This window comes from Homo sapiens, chromosome 13, assembly GCF_000001405.40.
Source record: "Homo sapiens chromosome 13, GRCh38.p14 Primary Assembly".
Lineage (NCBI taxonomy): Eukaryota > Metazoa > Chordata > Mammalia > Primates > Hominidae > Homo > Homo sapiens.
Genome location: NC_000013.11, coordinates 67,762,123 through 67,774,820, shown reverse-complemented (window position 1 = coordinate 67,774,820; position 12,698 = coordinate 67,762,123).

The following is a 12,698-nucleotide window of genomic DNA, read 5'->3' as shown; positions in this document are numbered from 1 at the left end:
TGTCACATTTATATAAAGAGCTGACAACCATTATAATTATACATAAAGTCTCAGTTCTATTGTCACACATTTAAAATTGTCATACTAAAATTTTATGTAAGTACATACATGTTTTCTTTTTATCTAAATTTAAAGATAGCCATTGCATCCCTGAGGCATGTTCAACAAAGAATATAAGTAATGTATGTTACAGGAATCAACGAAAACATTTGGGAATGCATCTTTTACTTTTTTATTCTCTTAACAATACATTTTGGCTGTTAAAAGAAACAGCAGCACATATGGGATTCTGGTTCAATGCATATACCATCCTATAAGAAAGCACCATAAGATTTATGTCCAATCTGGCTCTTAACTCAGTTTTCAAAAAGCCATTTCACACTCAGTAAGTCCAAGTATTTCTGGGCAATATGGAACATGATACAATCAGGGAATACAGTGTGTGTTAGTATATATTGCCTTACTTCATTCGCTGTAGAGTTAGAAGCAAAATTGTTTGGCATACCAAAGTGAAGAATGAGGTATTAGGTAAGTCAAAGAATGATTTTGCTGGAAAAGAATGGCTTATGAAGAAGATAAATGTATTTCCAAAATTTGTATCTCTAGTACTGAAGAAAAACTGTTGTCTCCAATAGATGATTTAGTGGCAGATTTGTACCCTGTAAAATAATATCTGCAAGGTACAAAAGATAGTTCACTGCTAACAACCAGTTTGGCACTCAGTTTTAGCCATAGCCTTGAGAAGAGGTAGGTATGCTGTTGCATCCATGCATAACCACTTGGTTCATCAGCCTATTGAGCAAACACAAATGTGTCTGAGAAAAGAGGCTGACCAAAATCCTCTGGGTGGGTCATAATGCCTACCTTATTGTTGACAGCCTTTTCAGTGGGTACAGGAGCAGCAAAATCCATTAATCTGAAAGGCCCATCCACATACCTTCATTTAGCTCTCCTAAATCTTCCACTTTTGCTTTTCCCAAGTTTTTGACCACTTAGAGAGTCATAATCATGTTGAAAGAGCAGTATGTATATGACTTCAGGCAATCACCATTATCAAGTAAAGTAAGCTATGAAATTATTTCTCAACATTTTTGTCCTCTAGCAAAAAATTTCTTCCCCTGCTTTTCTACAGGATCACTTCTGAGCGTGATTGTAGTCTACTTCTGGCTGGTCCCAATATGTCACGCAGAACTATTTGTTTTTTAACCTCATTCAATGTTTTTGCTTCAGTCAGCTTGTCACAGAGGCTTCCCATAGGTTTGCAGGCATGGTGGTTTCAGCAGGATGATGATGTAGCAAGAGAAGGCATGCTGAGAATTAAGTCACCAGCTCACCCAACTTTCTTGTTGAGAGGTGACAACGTACTGGCGGCCCTCGCTTGCTCTCAGCACCTCCTGGGCCTCGGCATCTGCTCTGGCCACGCTTGGGGAGCCCTTCAGCCCGCCACTGCACTGTGGGAGCCCTTCTCTGGGCTGGCCGAGGCCGGAGCTGGCTCCCTCTGCTTGCAGGGAAGTGAGGAGGGAGAGGCACGGGAACCGGGGCTGCGTGCAGCGCTTGCAGGCCAGCTCGAGTTCCGGGTGGGTGTGAGCTTGGCAGCCCCTGCACTTAGACCGGCCGCCCAGGCAGTGAGGGGCTTAGCACCCCGGCCAGCAGCTGCGGAGGGGGCGCTGGGTGCCCCAGCACTGCCAGCCACCCGTGCCACGCTCAAATTCTCGCCGGGCCTCAGCCGCCTCCCGGCAGCACAGGGCTGAGGACCTGCAGCCAGCCATGCCTGAGCCCCCGCCCCGCGGTGGGCTCCCGCGCACTGCCCGAGCATCCCCTACAGGTGCCACCCCCTGCTCTGCAGAGCCCGGTCCTATCAACCACCCAAGGGCTGAGGAGTGCGGTGGCACAGCGCGGGACTGGCGGGTAGCTCCACCCGCGGACCTGGTGCTGGATCCACTAGGTGAACCCAGCTGGGCTCCTCAGTCTGGTGGAGACTTGGAGAACTTTTATATCTAGCTGGAAGATTGTATATTTACCAGTCAGCACAGCTGTGTCTAGCTCAGGGATTGTAAATGCACCAATAAGCACTCTGTGTCTAGCTCAAGGTTTATAAATGCACCAATCAGCACCCTGTGTCTAGCTCAAGGTTTGTAAACACACCAATCAGTGCTCTGTGTCTAGCTAATCTAGTGGGGACTTGGAGAACTTTTGTGTCTAGCTAAAGGATTGTAAACGCACCAGTCAGCACTCTGTGTCTAGCTCAGGGATTGTAAATACACCAATCAGCACCCTGCGTCTAGTTCAAGGTTTGTAAATGCATCAATCAGTGCTATGTGTCTAGTTAATCTAACAGGGACTTGGAAAACTTTTACCTCTAGCTAGAGGATTGTAAATACACCAATCAGCACTCTGTGTCCAGCTCAGGGATTGTAAACACACCAATCAGCACCCTGTTGAAACGGACCAATCAGCTCTCTGTAAAATGGACCAATCAGCAGGATGTGGGTGCAGCCAGATAAGGGAATAAAAGAAGGCTGCTGGAGCCAGAAGCGGTAACCCACTGGGGTCCCCTTCCATACTGTGGAAGCTTTGTTCTTTTGCTCTTTGCAATAAATCTTGCTGCTGCTCACTCTTTGGGTCCACACTGCTTTTATGAGATGTAACACTCACTGCGAAGGTCTGCAGCTTCACTCCTGAAGCCAGAGACCACAAATCCACCAGAAGAAAGAAACTCTGAACACGTCCAAACATCAGAAGGAACAAACTCTGGACACACCATGTTTAAGAACTGTAACACTCACCACGAGGGTCTGCGGCTTCATTCTTGAAGTCAGTCAGACCAAGAACCCACCAATTCCGGACACATTGTGTCTTCAACATCTACTTGACTGTACGCCACTTCTATGTGATGTTGGAATGCTGCTGTGTTTATTTGTTCTGATTATAGCACTTACCCTATTGACTATTTTTACCAATCCCTTTGCCCATGTAATTTTCAGGGCCTTGATAGGGGAGTATGACCTGTAAACTGTGGGGTGAAGATCTTATAACGTGATCACTCATCATGATTTATTACATCTGTTTATCATATTTTTAACACAAGAATGTTCAGTACTTCAGCCTCTTTCACTGTAGACTTCTATTGAATTTTGGAAAGGTGGAAAACCAGAAGATCTGTTTTCTAATATTCTGACTTACAGATGGCAACCCTCTGAGCTAGAGATGAGGAAGAGGCCACTTTAACTGTTGGCTCCAGGGCCACACTATCACAGACACAATCCATGCTATTAAAATAGTTGCTTTATGCCCTCCACCTCAAGGTAAGAACTAAACATTGAGTCCTATGCATTGCTGCTGCAGATAACTCAAATTCATCCATGGCTGTGCTTGCCAGAAAAAAACAACTGGAAGAGAAAAAGCACATTTCTTACTCATTCCTGCTTTCCAAATATCATGTGGATCTAATGTTTGGTAAAAGCCAGAACACTTGCAAACCTGAGCTGATAAAATGGAAAGAGTAGACTTTAGCATGCCTGCTTCTGCTCTGAATTAAGTCATTCAAAAGGGGTTAGAGTAAGGTTAAGTGAGCAAATCTGTACATACTGCCAGAGAGTCTACAGTTTCACTAATATGTGCCTCAAGTATATTTAATAAAGCCTATATCAAGATACCAAATTTACTTAGGCTGCTGTGGCATCTCCTCATCAGCTGACAACTGGTAAGGCTTTAATTTGCATCTTCATGTGTAAAAATGGCACTTGTGAATTTCCCTTTCTTCAGAGTTCAGCTATATATTAGATTTTCCCTTTAATAAGATATTTGTATAGGTTTGTAGCAGGAGGAAAAAGCATCCAAATTAACCAATACCTTTCATGTAAATGTTTCAATGATTTGTTTCTTTAAATTAGTTTTGGCTTGCAATCTGCTAGGTATTTTATTTATTGTTTATATCTTTCTTCAGTTTAAGAATATTTTTCTTTTATTAATTTGGTATTCACTTATTCTAATTTTTACTTTGTCCCATTTTTTCAGATATGCCAATTAGGATTCATTGCTAATTCTTAATAGTAAAGAGACTTTTGAAAATCTATACTTAAGCTTTACTGGATTTTATTAATTAGCATAGTTAATGATGAGACTTTTCAGTTTTTCAAGGGTTTCTCACAGCTTGGCTTTTTTTCAGTTTAGAGTGTTATTTTCTTCTAAAAACACCTTTGAATGTGGTTTCTCTTCCATGTATTCTATTCCTTTTAAAAACATTTTAATTAGTATATGTCTATATATCATCTACCTATTCATCTGTTCGCTACTTTCGTGTGTATTCTGGGGACTTGTTTCCTATTTTTCTCTTTAGATGAAGCTTTGAGGGTTCATTTTCCCCTTTTTAAATTACCATCCGCTTTATTTTCAAATTTTTATTTTTTATATTATTAGGAGATAGGGGCATGCTTTTGATAGCAACAGGAGACAGACAAATTCCTAGGCAGACAAAGGCAGGTCCCTGGTGAAACCCGACCTTCAAGCCAAAGACAGTTTACAGCCTGAAAACAGAGGGGCCAGGTCCAGATAGAGCCCATGACCGGAATGAGAACTTCTATCCCGATCTTACCCTCTCTCTCCCTATTGGTTTATTCTGGATGACGCCTTTTAACCAATAGAATGCTGCTTTTCCAAAGACCACCTATGGACCAATGAGCATGCACGCCACCATTCAGAGCCCATAAAAAACTTGGAATTAGCCTCACAGGAGGCTACCCACTTTCGGTCCCCCTCTCACTGCCAAGGACAATCTGCTTTCAGGGTCCCCTCTCACAGTTCAGAGCTTTCCTTCTGTCGCTCAGTAAAATTCTTTGCCTTACTTACTCTCCGGTCTCTGCTCATCTTATATTTCTTAGTCACGCGGCAAGAACCTGGAACTCACCGAGCTGTGGGGCAGCGGGAGCAGGAAAGCTGTAACACGCGCCCATTCGCCAAGCTGCGGGTACCACGCCCTCCCGCTCGCCAAGCAGTAGGAGAGAAAAAGCCACTGGGCGCCATTCCCTGCTGCTCGCTGAACTACAGCAGCCATAACATTTCTTAGGGGCTCAGCTCTCAGGACTCCCCAGGCTTCACGGTTGCTGGCATCCCTGTTTTCAGGCACCACCAACTTCCGCTCATCTAGATGCGGGTGCCCAAGGTGGAAGCCGCTGGCGGCACGCCTGGTCCAGCCCGTGGGCTGAGTGCAGAGCCACAGCAGGCACAGGATCTGGGTTGGTGGCACGAGTCGAGTGCAGCCTGCAGGGCCGAGCGAGGAGAGCAACCCTGGTCGGTCAGCGTGAGAACCCAGGCAGAGGTAATGGCAGCCACAGAGATTTTCAGCTGGCGAAGGGGCACCGAAGGAATCCTATAACACTTTGTCATCCAGGGACAATCTCAGCTTGTACAGTGGTGCAGTCTTAGCTTACTGCATTCTGGAACTTCTGGGCTCAAGCAATTCTCTCGCCTCAGCTTCCTAAGCAGCTAGGATCACAGGCATGTGTCACCACACCTAGCTATTTTATTTTATTTTAATTTAATTTTATTTAATTTTATTTTATTTTAATTTAATTTTATTTTATTTTACTTCATTTCATTTCATTTAGACAGGGGGTCTTGCTTTATTGCCCAGGCTGCTCTTGAACTCCTGGCCTCAAGAGATTCTCCTGCCTCAATCTCCAAAATTGTTGGAATTACAGATGTGAGCCACTGCACCCAGCTTCATTTTCTGTTAAATTAATTTTATTAGTAATTGTTTGTTTCATTTTATGAAATTCAGAATAAATGCTTTAAGTTTATTCAGATTATAATAATGTCATTATATAAACCCTTATGAGGTAGAAAATTTCATCCAGTTTTCAATTATTGTGTATTAATCTTCCTTTTAGTGGCACTTTGGTATTTTTGATTGATGTTATAGTTTTCCTACTGCTTTAGCATGCTTATAATTGTCTGAGTGCACTGGAAACTCTTGTTTAGGCAACATTTAAATTCTCTCTTTATTTTATAAGTTTAGGCCTTCAGTTATCTGAAAGAGCACAAGGACCTTGGACACCTACTTTACCTCTAGGTGTTACCTGCATGAGTAAACAGTTTCCAGTTAAAGGCATGGGAAGTAAACTGTCCTCTTGAGGGATACTGCTCAAGTTTCAGTTTGTTCCATGGTGTAGGAAGGATGAACAAGTCACTTAAGTAAAGGAACTGGTAACTGCGGGAAATCCTAGCAGATCCTGGCTATACTTGGCAAGCACATTCATAATTTTTTCATGTATGTTTAACTTGGGTTTCTTCTTCTTTACCACACTTAAGAAGGGCAACTTGGAGATTACTGGTAATGTTTCTCATCATCTATGTTCAGATCTACACCTTGTCTCTCTTGATCATGGGACATTTTTTTCTTTATCACTCAATTGAGTGTATGCAACTCTAGAGAAATCTGATAAGAAAACACAGTAGAAAGATTTTGAAAAGTCAATTCTCTTCCAGATTTGTTACAGCTATGTATTGTAGCTCTCATTTCCCATGGAAACAGACCTTATCTACCTAAATTGGGAGACATTAGTTTAATGCTCTTCGTGTTTTCTTTTCTTTTATTCTTGTCTCATGTTCCATGATGATGTACTATCCCCTTGTGAAGTAGAATAGAGTTTGAACCAAATGTGTGCTTTCAATTTAATTGATTTTTTTCAATGTAATTAAAATTTATTCTGGGGGAAAATTCCCAACTTTTTTTCTGATAGAATTAAAACAAAGTTGAAATCTCAAGGTATTTTGATGGCATTAAAAGTGAATTTAAAAAAACAAAATTATTTAGACATATTTTTAATGAATCACCTCCATTAAAATATTCTAATGCCTGATATTGGTTATTTTGCTTTATAAATAACATTTTAATAGTTTCATGGAGGACCACCCCTAAATGGAATAAATAAGATTAATTAAAGTAGATTACTTAGCAGAAAAACAGAACAGTCATTTTATTATAACTGACAAAAATTTACTTAAGAATAAATTTTCAGTGTTTCTACAATAATAGCAAGAATTACTTTTAGTCACTTAAAAATAAAAATTAAACAAATGTATTGACTTAGGTCCTTTTGATTCTAAATTCTGTCACTGTGGTATTCTATAATTTTTGTCATTAAAACCCTGTATTTTATTTTTTATGGTGAATTTTTTTGTAATAATATTTTCAGGTTGACAATTCAAGAATTAATAAGAAAATATTCCTACCAGCCTTTTGAGGAAACTAATGAATATGTGCAAGTGCGTTATTAAAACTGATTTTTTGTAAATATATGCTACATAAATTACACTTGCAGTGCCTTAAAATTAAAGGCTAAAATTTATAGCCACTTTTATTAAGTACAAACTGGGAAAATGTTCAATACTTGAATTTTATTGTTCTACAATGAAATTATAATTCATTTAAGTCATTTAGATATATTTTGAATCCCTGGGAAATGTGCAATTTCCAACCTATTTCAAACTTCTGGTATCCACCTACACTCCATTAAGTTGTCATGAAGTTAAATCAGGACAGTATGATTGTTACATGGGCAGTTTATCAAATTCACCGGAAATTCACTGAAAAAACAGTATTCTCGTGGAAGCTTTAATTTCATTAACTTAGACTTTATGCAAGAAATTTGCTTGCTTGATCAAACATAACCTAAGAATATAAATTTCAAAACACTTTTGGTAAGAAAATAAAAATTATAATTATATAATCAAAAAGTTTAAGAAAAAATAATGTAACATTTGTGTCTAATGAATCAAAATTAAAACTAATTTATTGTATTTCCAAATAATAATAATTCACTTATTACATAATATTTTCTTCTTTATACATACATTAGTCAGTGCTAAGTTCAGCTTCAATTTAAAAACCTACATGACATAAAAAACAAAAAAAGACCTTCAATATGTCAAGCCAATAGAGGATAAATCTTAGTGCACTGTTTTTTACTTAGATATTTTCATCTATTTCTTATGTATTATACTATATTGACACAAAGATAAGTAAGACATCATTTATTCATGTCAAAGAACAGTGAAGTAAATATATGAGAGGAATGATCAATTCACTTTGTGGTAGCATACAAGTGTTGTCAGAGAAGTATAAAATACACTCTGTAGAAGGAGGTCAAAAAATTGGTAGATCACAGATGTTTTCAGGTGAATAATCAGGGTTTCTTGAGAAAGTAACATATGAAATAGAACTATGATACAGATAGGATGTTAACAGAGAGAAGAGGAGGCATTCAGAGGAGGCCAGGAAGAATGCTGGGAAGAAAACAGTGGCAATTGGGTATTGGGATAAGTCAAAACATTTGAAAGAAATAAACACAGAATACTTGCACAGTATGTTTGACACCTTTGTTACACATCAATCAAGAGCAGTTTAAATGGACTTGTATAGGCAAATGGAAAAGCCACATGCAAACACAGCTTTAGAAAGGTTTTATTGGCAGTGATTTTAAGGATAGATAAGCGTAAGGAAAAATTCTTTTGAGTAATAGTTGAAATCTTCTATGCCAGAAATAATTAGAGCTTGAGCTGATTTGTTGGTAGTGACCTTGGAAACAATGGAGCAGATGAAAGAGACTCAAAAAGAGGGAAACTGTACATAACTGGGCTATCAGTTGAGGAATGAGAGAGCATGGTAAAAATGGTGAATTCCGGCACAGCTGACTCCATGTTGTATTTTATTGTTAATAATTTCATCATTAATAAGTTTGTAGTATCGCTAAACTTAAAATAATTTCCATTCAAATTTGTTTTTTAAACCATCGTTAGATTAGAAACATTTTACCTAATTTTCAAACATTTCTCATTATATGTTTTGTAATAAATTTCCTACTTAGGTTCACTGTAATTAGAGATCTAACTCTACATAATATAAATCCTTAGAAAGGTGTTGAAATGCTGTTTTATGACTCAGTGTATGGTCAATTTTGGTAACAGTTCATGTGTACTTGAAAAAATATGTATTCCCCAATTGTTGGATGGATTGCTCTATACGTGTCAATTAGGGTACAGTTTGCTAATCATGTTATTCAACTCATCTATGTCTAATAATTTTATGTCTGCTTATTCTATCAGTTTTTAGAATAGTGCTAAAAACATCTCACAATGATTGTGTATTTCTCTATATTTCAGTTATTGCTCTTTTTGCCTGATATATTAATATTGTAAAAGTGTCACATTGGCTACATACAAATTTAGATTTATTTATTTATTGCTTTTTTCTAGCATTATACTTTTCACATTCCTGTGTACTTATGTTTAATGCATGTGTCTTGTATTCAACCTATTTATTATGTAACCCAGTACAACATTAGCCATGAAGTATCTTTATAAGGTCAGAGATTTTCTCTGTCTTCTTCATGACATACCCAGTTGTCTAGCAGTATATTTGGCATATAAGAAATGCTAATAAAAGACATTCAATTAATAGGTAAATAAATAATGAACTCCTATTTCAGTTATCTTAGCATCAATTATCACTTTCCTTGTTACAGTATTTCTTTTTTTTTCCTCCCAGGATGATAATCAGTTCTCTGCATGTGTCCTAAACTACCTAATGACAACCATTTTGCCACAGAATTCTTCTCTTTCCTATATAACATTTAGCTCAATTCTATCTCTGTATCTCTCTATCTATCTGCACATATACATATTACACACACATATATATCCATGTACTGGAATATGTGCATATCACATTTTCTATTACAGACCCCTATCTAGTTCCAAAATTAATACCAGAATGAGGATGTAAAGTTTAGGTTCATATATTCATAAAATATAGTTACTAATTTTACTATACATTATACCTATATAGCATATCCTATGTATTACTTATAGAATAAATTAATATGAAATTATGCCTTCATATTTTACAATCTAAATGTTGGGTTTCTTTGTTTAAATTTCCTAGACATAGTAAAATAGAATAGCATTTTCTTTTGGATAATCAATTGTTATAAAGTGAAATTGAAGAAAACCTCATGAGAGCTCCCCAAAGAAATAAAAAGACAGCACATCAAAACTTATATTTATCCTACACAGATATTTAAGTCATCGGATAGCTCAATAATTGCTTTTTATGGTACTCATGTCTGGATGACTTAAGAAGTCATATATGTTTACAGTTTACAATACCTTGGTATTTCACGAAATCAGCTTAGGTATCTCAATTTTTCTTCCTCTAAATGACACGAGTTTTATTTTGTAAGTGTTGTAAACTTTTTAAAAAAGGATATAAAACAAGAATATTAAATAGTTCACTAAGTACTAGGTAACGTATTTGCATTTTAGTGGAGACACTGGGAATAGTTCATAGTTAAGATGATAGATGGATTTAAATCTAAAAAATATTTTAATTAATTGGATTTGACAGAACTATTTTACATGGTTGCAAGTTTACTTTGCTATTTTAAAAGATAGTGACACTTGTGTTTAACCTAGAAACACCCAGTATGGAGTTTGGACGTGACATGCACATGCATCATTTATATTTTGATTACTTTCTAAGTGCCGACAAGGTACTGTGTTCATGAATAATTCAAATCACCTAAAAGAATGGGCTTTTTACATTCCATTTTAGAGTTTTGTTTTTCAGGCAGGATGTCTTAACAATGTAAAACACGTGTCACTGATGGAATATGATTAGCAATACACCATGATCTGACAGTTAACAATTATTCCCATAGGTATTATTCTTGCAGGCTATATAAATGATATAAAAATATGCACAGTAACTCAAAGTATAAGTCACAGATATTTAAAAAGTAAATAATATGTGTAATTTCTTTTGTATGACAGATAGAATAAAATTTAAATATAAGTGTATGATATTTTAGCCAATTAAATGCAATGAATTTAGTTAAGTATCACAGAAAAATTATTATTAAAAATGTTAAATAAAAATATGGAGTCCTGAGTGGCCATAAATCCAGAAATTTCAATAATTTGCTAGAACAACTCAGAGAGCCCAGGAAAGCCCTATACTTAGAAATACTTTACAGTTTTATTGTAAAAGATACACGTAGGCAAGGGCTAAAAAGGTCCATATTGCAGAGCTTCCGTGTTGTCTCCCTTGGAGTTGGAGTGTTCACAAGCCATCAATGTGTTCACAAACCAGGAAGCTACACTGAGCTCTGGGTCCATAATTTTTAATGGACTTTTATTACGTAGGCATGAATGATTAAATCACTGTCCATGTGATTGAACTCCATCTGCACACCACTTTCTCTACCTTGAGGTCAGGCAGCTGAAAGTTTCAATCCTCTAATCACAGGCTGTCTTTCTGGAGACCAGTCCCTATTCTGAAACTATTTAGGGGTCCACTATGAGTCACCTCATTAGCCTAACAAATAAACTTCAATCATTCAGGAAATTCCCAATTTTTTTTTGACTTTCTGAGCCAAGGAATGGGGTTAAAGACCAGATTTATTTTTTATTATACCATAGTACTCTAACACTGGGACCAACCTAATATTTCAAAATGGCATTTCATTGTTCTTTTCTTTTTTATATAACTTATAATTAGTAAGAATGTGCATGTATTTTCATCTGAACCATTTTTTTAATTTTCTATATTCTTTTCTTTAACCATTTAATTCTTGTTCATTGCCTATTTCTCCTAGGGATTTTTATTCTAGTCTTAATTGATTTATACTGCATGTGTGTGTGTGTGTATATATATATATATGCACACTTGTATATATACGTGCACATATACAAATTAGCATCTTGTCATAAGATACACTACATTATTATTGTCTTTTTTTATTTGTACACGGTATCCTTTTTCATGTGTAATTTTTAAAATGTAGTTGAATTTATCAATATTTATGTTGCTTTTCATCTTGAATTGGGTCACTCTTAGAAAAACATTTCTAGGCTTATGCCCAATTAAAAACATTCTTTCTTAGTACATTCTTGATACGCTTTTGGTTTAATCTTTTATACCTCTGGAATATACTTTATAAAGAATTATACTGAATATTACCAAATGTCTTTCTGGCATGATAATTAAATGACTTTTTAAAAATTCAGTAACTTAATAGTGTTTTAAAAGATATTTAATATTAAACCAACACTTCATTCCTAGTTTTGTTTTGTTACATTGTATTGTATTTGAGTTGCTCCTAGTTTGTGTTAAAAATTTAAGGTGAGTGCGGAAACATCTTCTCCCTGACTTTGTGTTTCCATCATTCAGTTAAAAACCCTTAACCTATTTACACCATCTAACCGAATATTCTTCAAAGGAGAAAGTAGTGAATTACCTTGTTCATAATGTTCTCATCCTGGATTACCCCCTGCAGGAGAACCTGAGACAAAGGCCCCCAGTTTAGTAAATAATTTAGTACATAGTCCCAGGGAGCTGCAAGGAGGATTTGGATGATAGGAACTGGGAAAGAGAAACAAACCATTTAGAAATATCTTATTATTGTCCATTGCAATGGGTGACAGAGGCTTGACCTTTTTAGGATCTTTGAAATTCACTTCATAATTATCCCAGGTGAGGACATGAGGGGAAATATTTTATCTTCTACCTTTATTCCGTTATCGGTTAATGAAAACCCTACACATTTTAAGCCCCTAACCTCTAAGATTGCATATGTACAGGTGCTAAGTGGATTCCCACAGACATTCCACACAGATACATCAGAGAAGTGAGAATTTAT